This window comes from Homo sapiens, chromosome 10, assembly GCF_000001405.40.
Source record: "Homo sapiens chromosome 10, GRCh38.p14 Primary Assembly".
NCBI classification, from domain to species: domain Eukaryota; kingdom Metazoa; phylum Chordata; class Mammalia; order Primates; family Hominidae; genus Homo; species Homo sapiens.
In genome coordinates, this window is record NC_000010.11 from 98,386,279 (window position 1) to 98,406,154 (window position 19,876).

General features: G+C 49.8%; 1 protein-coding gene and 1 non-coding gene across 24 annotated transcripts in view, besides 2 other annotated features; both read right to left on the reverse strand.

Annotated features, from left to right (window-relative positions):
* Positions 1-19,876, reverse strand: part of PYROXD2 (pyridine nucleotide-disulphide oxidoreductase domain 2) — a 31,615-nt gene that overhangs the window by 2,711 nt on the left and 9,028 nt on the right. For 6 of the 23 annotated variants that reach the window (XM_047425882.1, XM_047425883.1, XM_047425881.1 and 3 more), the window contains 10 exons: positions 13,824-13,979; positions 11,067-11,220; positions 9,113-9,174; positions 8,918-9,015; positions 6,664-6,805; positions 6,154-6,288; positions 4,732-4,918; positions 4,320-4,476; positions 2,076-2,230; positions 923-1,029 (listed from right to left, as the gene is read on the reverse strand). In XM_047425882.1, coding sequence (XP_047281838.1) covers positions 923-1,029; positions 2,076-2,230; positions 4,320-4,476; positions 4,732-4,918; positions 6,154-6,288; positions 6,664-6,805; positions 8,918-9,015; positions 9,113-9,174; positions 11,067-11,220; positions 13,824-13,979 — 1,353 coding nt within the window. The other 17 variants (NM_032709.3, XM_017016835.2, XM_011540293.3 and 14 more) reach the window with 13 other exon arrangements.
* Positions 5,230-5,279: an enhancer, noted in NCBI's record as "active region_3865". NCBI's record gives its function as "activates an Ori minimal core promoter by ATAC-STARR-seq in GM12878 lymphoblastoid cells {active_cell/tissue: GM12878}" and the evidence as "EXISTENCE:reporter gene assay evidence [ECO:0000049][PMID:35858748]".
* On the reverse strand, positions 8,940-9,029 carry MIR1287 (microRNA 1287). Its single transcript, NR_031619.1, has one exon. It is a non-coding gene; the product is annotated as a microRNA 1287 (primary transcript).
* Positions 18,643-18,692: an enhancer, noted in NCBI's record as "active region_3866". NCBI's record gives its function as "activates an Ori minimal core promoter by ATAC-STARR-seq in GM12878 lymphoblastoid cells {active_cell/tissue: GM12878}" and the evidence as "EXISTENCE:reporter gene assay evidence [ECO:0000049][PMID:35858748]".

The following is a 19,876-nucleotide window of genomic DNA, read 5'->3' on the forward strand; positions in this document are numbered from 1 at the left end:
CTAGAAGGAAGAGAGGGAGGGAGGGAGGGAGGAAACAAGGAAGGGAGGGAGGAAGGAAGGAAGGAAGGAAGGAAGGAAGGAAGGAAGGGCAAGCTGATGAAACTAATGTCAATAATATATTTTATTTAGCCCAATATATCCAAAATATTATAATTTCAACATGTAATCAATATATAACTTATTGATGAGATATTTTACATTTTTTTCTATACTGTGTGCATTCTACACTTGCAGCACATCTCACTTTGGCCTCAGATCTTTCTTTTGCTTTTTTTTTAAATTTTCTTTCTAGAGATAGGGTCTCATTCTGTTGCCCAGGCTGAAGTGTAATGACGCATCACAGCTCACTGCAGTCTCAAACTCCTGGGCTCAAGCGATCATCCTGTTTCAGCTTCCTGGGTAGCTGGAACCACAGGTACGCACCACCACACCTGGCGGGGTTTTTGTTTTTGTAGAGATGGGGTCTCACTACGTTGCCTAGGGTGGTCTCTGATCTTTCAAGTGCTCAGTAGCTGCAATGAGGCGATTGAACCTGGCCTCCTATCTGGTCTCCCTGTCTCCAATCTCTAGTTTTTGATAAATTGACAAGTCTGAGGATGTGCTGCTGCCTTGAGAAGGGGGTGCTCTCTCTCAAGAAAGTCAGATGGCAGAGCCAGCATAGTTGTCAAGGCAGAGGGCCACAATCCTGGTGACCTTCTCAGTGGGGGCTGTCCTGCCTGTGTTTCTGAGCCCCCACTAGGGATCCCCCATTCCCTCGGTTTGACCGCTTCTCTGCCCTCTCTCAGCCGGGGTCCCTGCCACTGTCCTCCCTTCCTGATGAAAGCTGAGTATGGAGGGACAAGATAAAGCAGAGAGGTCATAGCCAGGAAGTGAGGGTGCAGAGGGAAGGCTATGGTGAGAGACCCCCTAGGCTTATACATACCCCTCCAGGAAGCCCGAAGATTCTCTCCAAATCTGGTGGTGTGAGGATGTCTCTGCCAACCACAGAGTCCTTGAAGCCAGGGGCATAGACCTCGATGCAATCAAACACTGGGGTGCCAAAAACAGAGAAATGAGATGGTGTTAGGAAGAAGAGGAGGCACTATGGGTGTACAACTTGGCAAATTTACTAACAGTCATTAAATTACACACAGAAATGGGCTTATTTTATCATATGCAAATTATACCTCAATAGGTGAAAAACAAAAATCAGTCCACAAGCAAATGATTAATTCATCCCAAAGATGCATGGGTAGGCCAGTCCAGTCCCCAGTTTTCCCCACTTCCCTACCCCAACCTTAAACACGAAGCTGCTGATCTCCTTTTGCATATGCAGCTTTTTTCACCTCTTCACTTTTCTCAAGCTGTTTTTTTTTTTTTTTTTTTTTTTTTTGAGACGGAGTCTCACTCTGTCACCCAGGCTGGAGTGCAGTGGCGCAATCTCAGCTCACTGCAACCTCCGCCTCTGGGTTCAAACGATTCTCCTGCCTCAGCCTCCTGAGCAGCTAAGATTACAGGCATGTGCCACCACACCCTGCTAATTTTTTTATGTTTTTAGTAGCTACGGGGTTTCACCATGTTGGTCAGGCTGGTCTTGAACTCCTGACCTCGGGTGATCCGCCTGCCTCGGCCTCCCGAAGTGCTGGAATTACAGGCATGAGCCCCCACGCCTGGCCTGATCAAGCTGTTTCTCTTGCTTGGAATGCCCTTTGCTGCCTGGCCAGCTCCTAGTCATCCTTGGAAACCCAGCTTGACCATCCCTTCCTTTGAAAGCCTTCCTTGTCTCTCTGGCTCATGCGTCTCCTTTGGTTCGTGCAGTCAGCTGTGCTGTAATAAAAGGTTTCTTAATTAGTCTCCTCCATCCCTTGCTAGACTGTGAGCAACTGGAGGGCAGGAACTGTGTCTTCTTGACTTTCTTAGCCCAGTTCCTGACCCCTGCAGTCAACTATGTTGACTTGAGGTTCCCTTGACTATTTCCTCCCTTTGGAATGGCACCTGCAGTTGTCAATCCTGAATGGGGCAGTGAGGAGGAGCAGGCCCAGTTGGGTCGCATGCCCGGCTGTGGCTCTGGAGGCAGAACGTGCAGCTGTCTTTACCTCTGTCTGCATAAGCGTCTCTCTCCTGCTCGTCCCAGGCCTTGCCTCCAGCCAGCGTATAGGGCATGTACTGAGTGAAGAGGGAGACTACATGGCAGCCAGGGGGAGCCAGGGTGGGGTCCAGCGAGGAAGGGATGCAGAGCTCAATCACAGGCCTGTGCGGGCAGGGAGGAGACGGCAGGTCTAAAGAGCAGCAGTGCGGAGGGTAGGGCATCCGAGATGACTTGGGACACAGTGGAGGCCCTGAGATGACACCAATTCTGGGCGATTGTCGCTCTACAGCCACAGTGGTTGTCCACCTGCACGGGCTTAGCGGCTGCTAGCGTGGTCCAGAGCACCTGTGAGGAGCTCGCCTGACCCCAGACCCCCGAATGCATGGCCTGTCCTTGCCTGCCTTCATCACACGCTGTGCTCTAACCACAGCTCCCAAACGCAAATGTCTCGAAGGTCCACACAGACAGTGGGAGTGTGGAAAGGGGCCAGGCCTAAGACAGCAGGCGCCCAAGCAGCCAGATTTCAGCCAGGCTTTAGTGGCCTGACTGTCTTTTCCAGAGCAGACCAATGGAAGACAGAGCTGCTAGGGCTGCCCCGAGCCCCAGCAGAGCTGTGACCTGCTTCCCACCCCACCACCTTTGCCTGCCACACCTTTTCTACCTGGAGCATGTTCTCCCTCTGATCTCCAAATATGAGTCTCCTTCAAGGCCACGGGAAATGCCCCTTCTCCCTGCGTCCCTCAGCTGCAATGTTCTCGCTGAACTCGGATGTCCACCAGGGATCTCAAACATCCCCTGTTCAAACCCCAATGCCTGATTAGCCTCTAAAATCTGCTCCACCCCCACCGCCTCTTCCTCTTTTCAGTAAATGGAGGCATCATTTCACAGTCGCTCCTTTTTTTGACCCACATCCCACTCCCTATCCAACAGAAAGTCCTGTTGGCTTCACCTTCAAAACATACCCAGTCTTCCAACACTTCTCATCACTTCCCCTGCCCCCACCCTTGTCCAAGCCACTGTCCTCTCTCCCTTGGATTCTGCAACAGTAACCCATTGCAACAGATGCCTTAACTTTTTCTGCATACAGTGTCCAGGTTGGTCTTTTTAAAGCATAAGGCAGGCTCTGCACAAACTTTCCTGGAGTAAGAGCCAGGGCACTTGACAAGACCCAGCACCATCCGAGACCCTTCATTCCCAGGTGCTCTCTCTCCAGCCACTCTGGCCTCGTCCCTGTGCCTCCTATACAGCAGCACACTCCTGCCCCAGGGCCTTTGCACCTGACCTTCCCTCTGTCTGGACGTTTTTTCCCCAGATACCCATAAGATCTGTATTCTCACTTCCTTCCGGTCTCCGCTCAAGTGCCACGTTATTAGAGAAGCCTTTCCTCCCCTTCCCTGCCTATTTTTCTCCACAGTGCTCATCATCAGTGCTTACTTGTTGATTGTCTTCCTCTCATGGATAGAGAGTCAACGACCTGAGACTTTCTTGGCTTTGCTTGCTGATCTGTGCCCACTCACTGAACCAAGCCTGGCACAGAATAGAGACCCCAGAATATTTATAAATGGATGAATGAACTTTGCCCTATACCCTTCTTTCCAGGCGCACATCTTCTTTACCACATGCTATAAATATTTGTGTACCTGTCCTATCATAAGCTTTGTGTCAGTTTCATGCCCCTGCCCCGCTAATTCTCCCAGCCCATACCCAGTACAGAGTCCAGCACTGAGTAGGTTTTCAACAGTGTGTGCTGGACAGCGGACAGGATGGAAAGGCACTTGCTCCTATAGCGCCCCTGCCTGTTCCAGAAGAATGGAAATACAGCTGCAGTGGGAGGTGGGAAATGCTTTTAGAAGTTTTGCAAGAAGGCAGATTATCAGAAAAAGAAAGGCTACGGAGCAGGGGACTCGGTGAGTGCGTGCTCTCTGACGGGCTCTGAATGAGAGAACTTCCTTTGCTCTCCCAGAACACATTTTCTCCTCTTCTTCCCCAGCCCCAGCACTTTCCTGGGCAGTGCTCTGCCCCTCTGCCCCTTCTGCTAACCTGAGCCGCTCTTCACCCCTTACCTGCCCTCATCCTCAGATTTTTCACCTGGGATGCACTTCCTGTCCTTAGGAGTATGGATTTTGGCAGATCCTAAGTCACTGTGAAGGTTGAACACCAGGCCTGATCCCTGCTGTGGGTGGCATGGACAGCCCCGCCTCCCAGGCCCATGTGGAAGAACATCAGGGAACATAAAGTCCAGGGCCCCTACCTGTGGGAAGGCAGGCCATCCATGGCATCTTCAAAGGCCTGATGAAGGAGGAGGGTGTCTTCACAGTTCAGGTGGATGGAGCATTGGTGATGGGGCAGCGGCTGGCCCCTGGGAGCATTGGGGGCCGCCAGGAAGCTGGGCAGCCTGTCTACGGCCACTGAGGGACCAAAGAGGAGGGTCAGGTCTTAGCCCCACAAGGTCCTCCCTCTACAGCCAGCACCCTGCTACCCTCAGTGGCGGACGGGAGTAGGAAAGTATGAGCAAGTGTTTCACCTTCTGACCAGGCTGCAGGGGGACACAGGCTGGAGGTCCGGGAATGGAGATGATGACTGAGTTCAGCTGCCCCCAGCCTGGAGGTTTCTCACTCAGATGGGTCAAAGGAGACAGTGCTGCAATGTGGTGTGCCTCTTACCATTGATCTTGGTGACAGGCGACCGGGTGTCCAGCTGAGAGATTCTCTCCAGGAACTCCTCAGGAAGCCACTCCTGGAAGGAGAAGGCTCCATGAAAGGCCTCAGATGTCCAAGGCCCCAAGGAAGCTGCCTTCTTTCTTTGCTCAGGAAGATCCCTCAGTCGCTCCCTCCGGAAATCCTCTTCATCCTTCAAAGCTCAGCCAAAACCACCTCCCCTGTGAAGCCTTCCTAGATCCCCTCCCACTCAGCTCTAACCACTTCCTCCTCCGCGCTTGGCCAGCAGTTCTGACTGTGAAATAGTCCGCACCTCTCCCTGCTTGCAAAGGGGTCAGTGGTTTGCAGGCCTCTTTTCACTACTGGTCTGTAAGCTCTTGGAAGCCTCGACGATCTCAGAATTGCCTTAACAAGTTTCTTTTTACTGATGTTTGTTGAATTTTAGTAATGGAATCACTCAGAAAAAGTAGTGCTTTGCCCCTAAGAATTGCCCCCAAGAATGGCTAGGAGCTTCATGTGCGTATACATGTTATCATATCTTTTGAGCACAGGGTAAGTCAATTGCAAAAACTGCCCCCAAAGCTCACCCCTCCCTGTTTGCACACCCACTTCCGTGTAACCTTGCAGTGCTCTCACACTCTGACTCTAGGCTTGGCCATGAGACTTGGTCTGGCCAATGCTAGCAAACAGGATGCAAAGAGATCAAACCATGTGATGCTTGCATGCATGCTTGAGCTTGCCTGCTTTTGCCCTTTGCCAGACCTTGAGAACATGCCTGGACTACCGTGCTGGAGGAGGACAGACACATGGAGCATAGCCGAGTCCCCCACCCGGTCATCCCAGCAGAAACGGTCCTGGACCAGCCACCACCAGCCAGCTCCCAGGCACATGAAGGAGTCCCGCCAAGATCAGCAGCCGGCAAGCTGACCCACAGCCAACTGCAGACGCATGAGCAAGCCTTAAGCAGCTGAAATCCACCAAGATCAACTGAAGTCTCCAGTTCTGGGTGCCAGTATTTCTTGTTGTATGCCCAGAAGTATTGTGGCTCTTTGTTAATTGATTAATTAATAATCATGGATAATATAACAGATCATTGACAAAGACAATGGAATTAGAGCGGTGAGAGGGGAGAAATCAGGAAAGTAGGAAAGTTGTGGAAATAACTCTAGATTGAAAGTCAGACCTGGGTTCTAGCTCTGGCTCTGCCAATGGCCGGAATCTTGGTCACTTCACCTCTCTGGCCCCTTCTCCCCACCTGTGAGGCTTCTTCCCCGTTTGCTACCTGCCCTTACCCCCCTGTTTCCCAAATGCAGAGACTTGGCTTTTGCATCTCACACCCTGATGCAATCCTGGCTCCCTCAATCCCCACGATTTCTAACCCCTGTTTTGGCAGACATCTAAGCTCCACCCTCCTGCCCACAGCCTCACCTGTGGCGTCAGCTTCAGGAAGGTGATCTGCGGTGATGTGTTGGACAGCACCATTTTGCTTCTCACCTCTGTGCCATCTTCCAGCACAACTCCTTGAACACAGCCTTCACTGTTCACCTGCACCTTCGCCACTGTCTAGAGCCCACCAGAACAAGGCCCCAGAAACCGCAGGAAGGGAAATCCATGTTAGATCTTCCGGGATTTCCATGGTCTGTGCTGCTCCTAGGCATTCACAACTTCTTCATCCCAAACCCATCCCACCAAGTTCTGCAGCTTCTCCATGAAGCCTCAGCTTCTCCATGAAACACTCAGTCTCAGTTCAGTGACCAGGGAATTCCAAGGGGGTGGTTAGCCACTAACAGACTGCATGACCTTAATCTCTTGATTCTGCAACCCATCCCCTCATGGCCCCTCTGTTCATTGGTAAAACAAGGGACCTTCCAAATCTGAGACTTTGTTCTGTCCTGGGATCCTTACTAATAATTGGGGTGGGGTAGAGGGGCCGTTCACCTTTTCAGTGAAGATGCTTGCTCCATGTGTGGTGGCTGAGCTTGCGATCGCATCAGAGAGGGCACCCATGCCCCCCTGGACGTAGCCCCAGGCCCCCTGCATTCCCTCCAGGCCCCCCATCACATGGTGCAGCAGCACATACCTGTGGACAGACCATCCGACTCAGATCCTGGAGGTGGGATCTCATCTCCCCAGAGTTCCAGGTGCAACTATTCCTTTCCATCTTGATCTTCAGCCCTTCCCTGCCACCATCCAGCCCTCTCCCAGCAGCCTTCAATGAGCTCAAGTTCTTGTAAGAGCCCTTTGCCTTCTCTACACCCTCTCCCTAACAAGTGTGTCTATGTGCATAGCTTATTACCACAAAGAAGGCAACGATGCCCAAACCTGCAGCTCCAGCCCTCTCCTGAGCTCCAGCTCCGGTGTCCAGCTACCCACAGATATCTCCCTTTGGACCCTTTCTTGGCAGCATCTTAAACCCACCACCTTTTCCCCATTCTCCAGCTGCTTCCCCTTCAATCTTTCCCATCCCAGTGAACGGCACCTTTCAACAGGAGGTTCTGTTTCCGACAGAAATCCAGGTGTCAGCCTTGACCGCTACCATCCTTCCCCATCTACATCCACAAAGCAACACCAACTCAGCCTCCAAAGGGCTTTCAAGGTCATCCCACCTCTCAGCCTCTCTTCTCTTCCTTATGCTGCTGCAGTAGTGCCCCTCATTGGACCCCCTCTCCCACACTTTCTCTCCTGCAGGTCTTGTCCACATATATCCTGGAGCCCTATCTTAAAGCCCAGCTCTGCTCCTGCCACTCACTTATCACCATTCCAAGCCTCCCCGGCTTGGCACTGCTCTTAGGATAATGGCCAGTCTTCTAGCAGGCACTCCAGCCTCATCCCTCATCCTGTCCCCCTATCCATATCCCATCCTCCTAACTAACAGAACCTCTCGATTTCCTGGGTGGATCACACGTTCTCTCAACCCCAGCATTTCCCCTGCTGTTCTGTCGGCCTGAAGCCCCTCCCTCCCTCATCTTATGTTTTGTTAACTCCTCTTTGTCCTTTGGGTCTCAGATCAAACACCTCTTCCATGTAGAGGCTTCTCTGACCCTAGACCAGGCTGTGTCCCGGCTGCTCCTCCTAGCATCACACTCACGCCACTTCATCATCATCACTCGCTCTGTGTCTCTCACCCATCAGGACATCTGCTCCGCTCACTACCGTATCCCCAGCACCTAGCACAGGCAAGCGCTCATCCATATTTGTTGGAAGAATTAATGATGGAACAGATTACTTAAAGATCACAAACGGAGCACTGGTTAAGCCTCCCAGGGATCCGAAGAGAAAAGGGCAGGAGGCCCCAGCTGGAAGATCCAGATTGGCTGGTAGATCACAGCTTGGCCAATGTGTGGCAACTGCTGCCAAGCCCCCATCTCCATCGCCCTGGGGGAATTTGGGGCCGGCTTAATATGTGTTGAAAAACCACTTCCGAGGGTGTGCTCATCCCTTGAGAGAAAAGCCACGTCGACGCCTTCTAGCTTCTAGCTTCTAGCTGTATCTTCTGGTGCACTGGAAACGGCCCAACCCTTGGCTGCATTCTCCATCCCAACACACACACACACACACACACACACACACACACACAGCCTTCCATTCCTGCTTCTGCGGGGGCTCATTAAGTCAGACCACACTGCAGGCTTTGCTGTGTCTGACTGCCACCTCTCGGATTGGGCTGTCAGCACAAACCCTCACTCATAAAGAAAAAGGCAGCTTCCTGTCCATCCTGAGGTGTCTGTGTGAGTGTGTACCAGAGCCCAGGGGAAGGAACAGTGAGAGAGAAGGGAGAATGGGCGTTTGCGGGAGTGGAGAGGTAGAAGAGGGAAGGGAAGAGGAGAGAAAAGAAGATATTAATTTTGAGCTATCAAGCGGGAGGTGGGAGAGAGGCTTTTCTTAGTGAAGCAGTAGGGCACAGTCACTAAAAAGGAAGATTTTGGGGAGTCAGACACCTCAAGCTGGAAATCAGCCTTGCCACTTACCAGCTGAGTGGCTTTGGGCAAGACACTCCCTTCTCTGAACCGCAGTTCTCAGATGTTGCTCTGAGGGTTAAGTGGATCGTGTGTGATGTGCCTGGCTCGGTTCCTGGCTCACTGGGTGAGCTCTGTTAAGTGGCAGCTGTTGTTGCTGCCACTGCCACTGTTGTCCTCACTCCTGTTGGGGAACATGCCCCACTCCTGTGTCCCACCTCACCCCCCTCACTCACCCACTCCCCGGAGTGTGGGGACTTGTCATGGCTCCAATCACTGCATCTGTGGCTAGAGTGGCTTTTAAAGGCTCAGACTCGAACCACTGATCCAGCACCTGGACAGCACAACAGCAGAGAGAAGGGCTTAGGAGCCTGGATGGGAGGAGGGCCCTCTCACTGCCTGGTCGGGCCTGAGGCTGGGGAACCACTCACCTTGGTAATGGGAGCTGTGAGGACCTCATAATATCGGGGAAGCTGGGCTCCCAGGATGCGGCCTACAAGAGAAGATCCACAAAACAGAAGTTGAAACAGGTGACAGGGAAACCCTCCGACCTGGCCTGGGGGATAAAAGCATGGAGGATGCTGAGACTTCCTGCCAGGAGGTGGTATAGCACAGCCAATGCAGGGACAGATCCAGCTTGAGTCCTGGCCACACCTCTCACTAGCTGCAGTGCCTGGGACACATTTTTAACATCTCTGAACCTGCTTCTTTACCTGTAAAATGGGAATCCTATTTTACACCCCAAGGGCTACGGTGAGGATTAAATGAGCTAGGTAAAGCATTTGCAAGTTCATGGGTACTTAATACATTTAAGCAGTTAGCATTATTTTTGGAAAATTTTAAACTTGTACCTTATTCCCTTATTTCGAACTCTGGAAGGCCCATATCCTGGGAGAAGGCTGGCATGGCTGATCCATTCCTATGACCCTGATTCAGACCATTTCAGAAAGAAACTAGGCTTTAAGGCCTTCAGGGTAGAAATCATGGTCTCTAGCCTTACAGCCCCTGGGCCTAGCTTAGTGTCTGACACATAGTAGTTGCTCAATAAATGTTTTTTGCCTGTTTTTCACACAGAGCTCCTTGGACTGGTTATCTGAGAGAGAGGCAGTGTCTACTTTTTGCATTTGTAATAGATTCCACTGGCTCCATACTCTTTGCAATGTATAAGTCTGCAGTGCCTCTCAACCCACCACAACTTGGTTAACCTGCCTGGCTCCTTGGCTCTGGGCTCATCCATGTGATTTGGTCAGCCAGTGGAATGTTTGCCGATGTGACACAAACCCAGAACTGAAACAGGCCTGTACATTGGGGCATGCCCTCTGTGCTTGTGCCACTGATGTGAAAAGTCCACACCCAGGTCAGCATGTGCTTCTACAAGGAGGACGAGAGGTACCTGGAGCAGAGCTGCCTCCACTGAGCTGCTGCAGACACAAACACATGCCTGAGACCAAACCAGATCAGCTGAGCCAGCTGGAATCAGCTGAACCACGAAGACATGTGGGAAACAAATGATTTTTTTTCTAGGATATAGAGGTTAAACTGGTCTGTATACCCTCAAGGAGGGTAGAAAATAATAGCACACTTAATGAGCCTTCCATTCGCATACTCATGGCAGACATTACTAATTGATCACAGAACTTCTCCTTGCTGAGCCCAAATCTAGCATTCTTCCTGTATGGGGGCAGCTCTTCAAATCTCTTGGCCCCTATATCTTATTCTAGCCACAGCCATGATGCTGAGCTCCAAGCAGGCTTTGATCAGCTTCACACAGGCAACTCCACAGCAACTCACTTCAGTCCTGAAAAGTGAGCCTCTCTACTTCTTCCCTAGGGCTTCTCTGGCACCAGGGCAGGGCACTCATGGGAACCTACTTGGCACCCACAGATGCACAGCCCAGAAGTGTGGGAGTCAATGCCCTGTGAGGCAACCCTTGGCCAATGGGAGATAGAACCCAATGGATAAATATTTCCCTTTCCATCTCCCGAGAAGGTTCCTCAAATGCTTTTCATAAGGCTTCCCAGAGGGCCCACACAGGTCCAGCATCTTGTCACCCACAGTGCTGGCTAGTGCGATCACACACTCTGGTATTGACTCTTTCTCTGTCCACTTTCACCCCAACTTTCTGCTATTTTTGTGTCTTGGGGTCACCCTTCCAAATGAACTACCCACGCATAAGCCTTGGTCTCAGGCTCTATTTTAAAGGCATATCAGCCTAAGATGCTCTCAACAAAGTGCTCCAGGCTGCCCCTAATTGATCGCAGCATGTTAACTGATCCCAGCTGGCAGGCTGCCATGGAGGTTCAGGCTTGTGTCTAGGCATCGAGACAATGGGCTCACCTCCTTGAAGGTCACTCATCATGCCCTGGTGCCTGCACTTGGACTTACCTGCCTTCAGCAGGGGCTTGAGGGTGGAGAGCGACCTCATCCTTTGCAGCAAGGAGCCATGCTGGAAGGCCGCCATGTCCACGGGGGCCGCATCCAGCAGAGGGTCAATGGCTAATGCCAAGCGATGCATGAACTCCTCATATTTGGGAAAGACCTGGAACAGAGCTCTGCATTAAGGCCCCACTGTCCACATCCCTGCCCTCCATGCTGTCCCCAGATGGCCTGTCACCCCCCCACAGCTTGACGGTTCCTCAGGCCTCATTCCCCGCTGTGGCCCAGCTTGGCTCTGTTGAGCTCCCCCAGTTCCAGGTCTCTGGGTTAACATCAACACCAGGAAGAGTGCATGGGGTGGGGTGGTGGTGGTCAGGAGACCCTGGGCAATAGGAGAATCACTGGGAGTGGTGACAGGGACAAGGAGCTAATGCTGGCTAACACGAAGTGTCACCCACAGAAAACTGGCAACAATCCTAGGGTGTGGTCTCTGCGATAAATCATGAAACCACTTAGAAGTTTCTTCCTTCTGTCCTTTCTTCTTTTTTTTTTTTTTTTTTTTTTTGAGATGGAGTCTTGCTCTGTGACCCAGGCTGGAGGGCAGTGGTGCGATGTCGGCTCACTGCAACCTCTGCCTCCCAGGTTCAAGTGATTCTCCTGCCTCAGCCTCCTGAGTAGCTGGGATTATAGGCACCTGCCACCACGCCCGGCTAATTTTTGTATTTTTAGTAGAGACGGAGTTTCACCATGTTGGCCAGGCTGGTCAAGAACTTCTGACCTCAAGTGATCCGCCTGCCTCGGCCTCTCAAAGTGCTGGGATTACAGGCGTGAGCCGCCACGCTGGCCTGTCCTTCTGTCCTTTCCTATATTATTGGTAGAAGTTAGACCTCTTTGCCTGTATTCTTTTCCGGTCTGTAGGTCGTCTCCCATGCCGTCTCATCACCTGCAGTCACAGAAGCCTGCCTCCTCTCACCCCACAAGCTCCCATGTCAGAATCCACTTTCGAAAGCCTGGTTTCTGACACCCACCCTCCTTTCCCTGGAGGGCACAGGAGCAGTGATAGAAGCCTGTGCTACTGGAGGCCCTACCTGACTCTTCTTAGCCCTGGACTTTGAATTTTGGTCCATCTCTACCCATGGATATACCCATGGCATTTTAATAAGTGTTACATAAAGAAAAGTTCCATGTTAAAATACATTCGAGAAGTCTTATTAAAAATGAAGTTAAACAGCTTTCTCTAAGCAGGCCTTTAATATGACAGCATGGAAAGACAAAACCAGAAATCAAGCTCCTCACTTTCCACGATGGGAAATGGGCACTTGCCTCCAGCGTGTGTGGTCGCTGGCATGTAGGGCCACAGCTAGTGTCCTGCAGGCCCGGGGACCTGGCCTTGTGCAGAATCCCCTCAAGTGCCTCTGAGATGGGTAGGATTTGGACGAGAGGATGCAGGTGGTGGTCTCCAATCTGCTGCACAAAAGAACCACCAAAGAAGCACTTTTAAAAAAGCTAAGCTCCTCAGGCCGGGTGTGGTGGTTCATGCCTGTAATCCTAGCACCTTGGGAGGTGGAGGTGGGAGGATTGCTTGAGCTCAAGAGTTCCAGACCAGCCTGGGCAACATAGTGAGACTTTTGTCTCTACAAAAAAATTAAAAATAACATAGCCGGGCATGGTGGTGAATGCCTGTAATCCCAGCTACTCAGGTGGCTGAGGCAGGAGGATTGCTTGAACCCGGGAGGCAGAGGTTACAGTGAGCCAAGATCGCACCACTGCACTCTAGCCTGGGCAACAGAGTGAGACCCTGTCTCAAAAACAAATAAAATAAAATAACAAAATAAAAGGCTAAGCTCCTCAGGTGATTCTGATCATCAGCCAGGTTTGAAAACTGCTGGTGGAAGAGACATGTAGGCTGTGTGTCTGTGGTTCTCTAAGTTTTACCCAGCAATAGATTAACACAACAAAAGCAATGTACATGGGTTCTATTAACCTAGGTTCTTCTTATAAAAATGTCTCCACTGAGATATGATTTAATGCTACATCTCAGCTAATATCCAGGCTTGGTACAAAATGGCCATTCAAATAATCTTTCTATATCCACAGAACCAACTGTGGCAGGGCCCTTACGGAACTCAGTGGCTCATCTAGACAAGGCCACCCAGCAGGTTCCTAGAATGCAGTTCCAAGGGAAAAAAGTGCATTCTCCATCCGACATGTGTTCATCCTGTCACCAGACCTGCACACCATCATGGACACTTTGTTGCCTTGGGCAGCCAGGAGGGAGCCTTGGGATGCCACACTGAATAAATATTTAGAACTCTCCTGTCCTAAGTTCCTGATTCAGTTTATTTATCCTTAATTTTCTCTGATCTTCCCTCATCCTCCTTTTTGGCTTTCATGTGCTTTAATGTGGACAAACACCTGGAACTCTGCCTGAAAGCTGGAGGGGCATGAAGCACACGCCAGTGTAAGAACGTGCCAGTGCATTTCCTCTTGAACTCAGCAGGCACAGCCCCTCTGACAGTGGCCCCATACTGAACACACGCAGGTGAGCAGGCCTCCCAGTCCACTGGTCTTAATCAGCATCCTCCACCCGCTTCTCTTCGCAGTGCCTGAGATCAAGAGCTGCCACCAACTGGAGCCCTCCTAGGAACGTGGGGTGGCCTGGCGCAGTGTCCATGGCCTTTGAACAATTGTTCTAGGACAATCCAACCAGGCCCATCTCTAGGCTGCTGAGGGAGCAGGAGCTCAGTCACTGGTCGCCTTCCCTACCTGGGCATCCTTCTGGGAGAACTGGGCGATCTGCTTCTGGTTTTCTGCCATGTCTGTGCCCAGCAGAAGGCACCTGGGCACCTTGCTGCCTGCACCCTCTTCCAGCATGGGGGTGAAGGAGTAGGGGTTTCGAAGATGAAGCCTCAGCCCATGTTTCTGCAAAACACAAATAGCATGGGCCACATATTAATGGCTCTGTGGTCTCTGCCCATCATCTTTCTCCGATTGTGTTTGTGTGACCATTTAGGTACCTGTGTGTAGGTTCCCAAGTGTATGGTCCTGGTGTCTGTTTTTTAAATATAAGTTTATAAAAAGCCCTCTTGCCCAAGTACCCTATGGTAGACGATACTGTATCACATCGCAGTACACTATACCATTCTACACCATACCATACATACCACACATACCATGCCATACACCACGCCATGCCATGCCACATCATACCATACCACACTACATCACATCACACCACACACACCATGTCATACCACACCCTACCACACCATGTGATACCATACCATGCCATATCACACCACACTATGCCATGCCATGTCATACCACATCACAGCATGACACACTCATTCCATGCCAGGGACTGTACTAGGGTTTACAATGGTTACCTCACAATAACTTTGTAAGTACAGTCTTGCATCACTTAACGATGGGGATATGTTCTGAGAAATGCATTGCTAGACAATTTCATCACAGTTTGAGCATCACAGAGTGTACCTACACAAAACTAGATCTGATAGCCTACCACACATAGGCTGTGGGGTGTAGCCTGTTGCTGCAAACCTGCACAGAATGTTACTGCACTGAATACTGGAGGCAACTGTAATCCAATGGTATTTGGGTATCTAAACATGTCTAGGCTGGGCACAGTGGCTCGTGACTGTAATCCCAGCACTTTGGGAGTCCAAGGCGGGCAGATCAGCGAGGTCAGGAGTTCGAGACCAGCCTGGCCAATATGGTGAAACCCCGTCTCTAGTAAGAATACAAAAATTAGCCGGGCATGGTGGCACGCACCTGTAGTCCCAACTACTCGGAAGGCTGAGGCAGGAGAATTGCTCGAACCTGGAAGGCAGAGGTTGCAGTGAGGCAAGATTGCCGCCACTGCACTCCAGCCTGGGTGACAAAGCAAGACTCTGTCTCAAAAAAAAAAAAACAAAAAAAAACAAACATAGAAAAGGTACATTAAGAATATGGCATAAAAGGTAAGAAAAATGATACTGTATAGAGCCCTCATGATGAATGGAGCCTACAGGACTGGAAGTTGCTCTGGGCGAGTGAGTGGTGAGTGACTGAAGGCCCAGCACATTGCTGTACACTACTGCACACTTTATAAATATAGTACACGTAGGCTACACTACATTTATTAAAAAATTTTCTTCAGTAGGTTAGCTTACTGCAAACTTTTAAACTTTATAAACATTTTAATTTTTAAAACCTTTTTGATTCTCTTAAAAAGACACTTGGCTTAAAACACAAACATTGTACAGCTATATAAAATATTTTCTTTATATCCTCATTCTATAAGCTTTTTTCTGTTTTTAAAATTTTTTATTTTTATTTTTTACTTTATAACCTTTTTTCGCTAAAAAGTAAAATGCAAACACACACATCAGCCTAGGCCTACACGGGGTCAGGATCATCAATGTCACTGACTTCCACCTCTACATCCTGCCCCACTGCAGGGTCTTCAGGGACAGTAACACGTGGCACTGTCATCTCCTAGAGAGCAATGCCTTTTGCTGGATACCTCCTGACAGACCTGCCTGAGGCTGTTTGACAGTGAATTTTTTAAATAAGGAAAAGGAATACTCTCTAAAATAATAATAAAAGTATAGTATAATAAATACATTAGCCAGTGACAAAGTCATTTACTATCAAGTATTATGTACTGTATATAATTATATGTACTAGACTTTTTGACAACTGGCCACACAGTAGGCTTATCACCACAAACACATGAATAATATGTTGCAGTGCAACTATGGCATCGCTAGGGGACGGGAATTTTTTCAGCTCCATTGTAAGCTTATGGGACCACCACTGTATATAGTCTATCGTTGACCAACATGGTGGCACATGGCTGTCTTATTATCCTCATTGTACAAAAGCAACACGAGAGGCTCATAGGAGTTAAATAATTTGTCCCAGGTCACTTTAGGAGGTAGGTCTGGGTTTCAAAACCACAGCTCTGTAACTGCAAAGCCCCAGCTCTCAGCACCGGTCTGTAACTGCCCCACTTCAGAAATAAATAATTAAATTTAGAAAGACACAATCAAGCAATGGTTATGTGAAAATCTATACTTACAAGGTAGATAAATTATTCACATCAGAACATTTTATTTACTTTGCAGACTCATTTACTCCAGGGTCACTTTAAATGGAAGTTTCTTTGATGCATTTAAAATATGATTTGATTTACAAATATTTGATTAGCACACAGAATTTTCCAAGAGCACATCCACTTCTTCAAAGCAGGCACAGATAAAACAAAAGGGGCCTGTGCCGCCTCCAGTTTCTGCTGTCGAGAGGCTTCCTTCTCCAGATCCGTGGCCTGCAACCTCACGACTCGAGGTCTTGGCTGGAATGCCACCTTATCAGCCAGGCCTCCCCCGCACTCCCTGCCCCCTCACCCTGCAATATTTTTCTCCAAAGCACTTGTCAGCACATGGCTAATCACATATTTAGTGTTTTCATTGTCTCCCCAAGTAGAATGTAAGCCCTGTGAAGTCAGGGGCATTGTCTGTTTTGTTCACCGCTGTACCCTCCGCGTGTAGACACAGTGTAGTTAATAAGCATTCCGTCGACTCTGAATAAATGAATGCTAGGTTGCAGACAAGGTATGGCCCCAGAGGAGAGAAATGAGATCGGAGAGTAGACGTTTTAGAAAAGCACGAGGAAACCAAAAACAGGCTTTTCCAACAATTACCGCTGGAGTTGCTCCACACTGGAGATGCTCCAGGCGGGCAGGCTCGCCGCAGCTCTGGACACTCTGTGGAGGAGATTTCCGATGCTGGCGGGGGCCGGGGCCAGGAGACGGCTGGGGTCCCTCCTATCCCTAAGATGGAGACATTCTTTATTCTAAGCTAGAGAAACTTCCAGCTTCGTTCTTCTTAATGTAGTAAACTCACTCATACCCAGGAGGCATCCTTAGTCTCTCTCCTGGTCATCCTTGACATCCCATCCGCTGCCTCCAGAATCTGTGCGCGTCTCTCCAAGCCGCCATTTTGGGAACCGCTGCAGCGGCGGCCTAGTGCTCCACATGCGACCCCCTCCTGTTTCCTCCGAGTCCTCACCAGCCAGCAGGTGGGCTGACCTTTGTAAAGTCACAAATCCTAGCAGTGAACTTCCTGATCACACACCTCACTGGCTTCTCGCTGCACTTGGATAAAATGCAGTCCTGCCCCTCCCACCCCCATCTGGTGCTCTCTGCCTGTCTGCTCTGTCCACACTGACCTGCCCTCTGCTCACGCCTGCCTGGGTGGGTCCTTCTCTTCTTCCCTCTGACTGGAGACTGCTTAGATGTCCACATGGCTGCTGCTGGTGACCTCTTGGTACCTGAATACCAGCTCAAATGTCACCTCCTTGAGGAAGATGTCCTTCCTGGTCACCATCTAGGCTGGAATCTCCACTCTCTTTCTCTAATGCTGCCTTCTTTTCTTTTCTTCTTGGCACTCTCCCTGAAGTTCTCTGCCTAAGAGCAGTGTCCTTGCCTTCCTAGTTCACTGCCGTACACCCAAGGGCTTCTCTCAGTGCCTGGCACATAGCAGGTGCTCAGAAACATGGACTGAATGAACGAATAAACCCTCCAAATCAGGGACCTAAGAGGAATCCAAAAGTTATTTTAAGTATAACTAATTGACTATGAATCACTTTTCATTTGATTCATAATGAAACCTAAATGGAGGCTCTTCTAAATGGAGGCTCTGTCATTCTTAATGGTGTTAAATCAAATTTAGCTTAAAGCTGCCTCCTTAAATACTTTAAGCTCAACCTAAAGGTTTCTCTGTTCCTAGTGAACTATAACCTAGAAGGAGGCGTAAACAGACTGTAACCTACTTCTGTGTCAATCGCCGAGTTTTGGCCAATCAAAGGGGACCAACTGTTTAAACTGCGTTCAAATAAGGCAAACACTGAGCTGTAACCAATCCAGCTGTTTCTGTACCTCAATTCCATTTTCTGTACATCACTTTTCACTTTCTGTCTATAAATCTTCTTCTACCATGGAGCTGTGCTGGAGACTGTGAGCATACTCCAGCTCGGGAGCCTGATTCATTTATGAATCATTCTTTGCCCAATTAAACTCTATTAAATTTAATTTAGTGAAGGTTTTTCTTTTAACAATAGGTTTAATTATGTGGAGTCTGAATGAGAAGGGGAATGTTAAATAACCATCAGATTATATCCACAAGATTTGTTCGGATTATGAAGCTTTTTTCTTAAAAAACAGAAAAAAAACCCAAAAAAACAAAATGAAAGCAAACCCTTCTTTTATTTACCCCATGAGAGTTCTCAGCATGCACAGTCATCCTGGGTGGAAATTGTTGGAAAGGGTGTGTGTGTGTGAAGGGTGTATCTGTGTGTGTGTCTAAAGGACCAGAGATACAAGAGATTTAAAGGGTGTGGTTCTCAAAGTTATGTTCTGGGGGCCTCCTCTTTCAGAATGACCTGAGAATGCCATAAAAACGACCGTTTCTGGGCCCCACCACTGCCACAGAATCAGACTCGTGAGCAAGAACCCCTGGGGTTTCCCCAGCAGTTTCCCCAGCAGTTTCCCAGGTCATACTTTGTGGCCCTGCAAATTAGAGCCCTACCTTAGAGAGATTTCCAGGAGAAAAGCAAGAGCAAAATGAATAAGGCTGAGTGAGACCCAGAAGGTCAGTGAGGGAGGGGAGGGAGGATGGGATTGCCTCTGGCAGTGAGGTCAAGGCTGGCCCAGGGGGAGATGGGGAAGGTGGCTTATGGCTGAAGGGGATGAAAAGCCCCCCTCCACACCCCCTTCTCCACCAGTGCAAAGGCTCTGCCCTTCCAGCCTGGATTCCATCATCCAGCGCAGGGCCGCTGCAAAAGCAAACTCATTTACTAGGTGGATGGAACCGGGAGGTGATCCAAGTCAGTGCTCGCATTGACAGCTGTGGAAACTAACACCCAGGAAGGGGAGGCAGGCCCTGGTGGGGACCACAGCGGGTCAGTGGAGGGTGCTTTGGCTCAAGGAGGGGAGGAGGGGCAGTGGTGCCAAAGCCAAGCCTCTCACTTTAGTTGAGGGCTCACTCTAATTGGATACAGCCTTATAAGTGGCAGGGTGGGTGAGTAGTCTCCAGCCATGGGTCTTTCTGGAGCCTCAGTTTTCTCAAGTGCCAAATGGGGGTAATAATAATAGCGACAAGTACTGAGCCCTCTGTGCACCAGGCACTGTGCTGATGTGGCCTTAGGAGGCAGCTGCTGTTACTATTCCCTCTTACAGATGAGGAAAAGAAGGCACCACGTGGTGAAATCACGCAGCTGGTGAGCTGTGGAGCAGGGAGGCAGACGCAGCCGGCCGGTTTCCAGCAGCTCCAGTCTCAGCCTCTGTGCACACTGCGCTGGAGCTGCCAGGGGCACTCTATCACCACGTTCACCGCAAAGTACCAAGAGCCAGAGACGTGTGAGTCTGGGCGGTATTGGTACCAAGAGGCCTGAGCGCATCATAGCTCAAGAACAAGGAGTAGGAGACAGTCAGGCCTTGGCTTGAATTCTCCATCACTTTCTAGCTGTGTGAATTTAACCCCTGAACTTTAGTTCCCTGATTATAACATGGCTCTTGACTTACAGGTAAGGATCAATTGAGATAGAACATTAAGGTCATAGCCCAAGATGTGATGCTGGTAAAATAAACGCTCTCCATTATAGTTTTGGAAAGACAATATTCCTGGAAGGAGTTTAGTTGTCCTCCTGTCAATGCCCTCCAGGCTGTCAATGTCCTGTTAAAACAAGGTGCTCCAGATGGGGTGAGTCCTGCGTATCACACAACAGGACTGCTTTCTCCCTGCTCTGAGCTCCATACT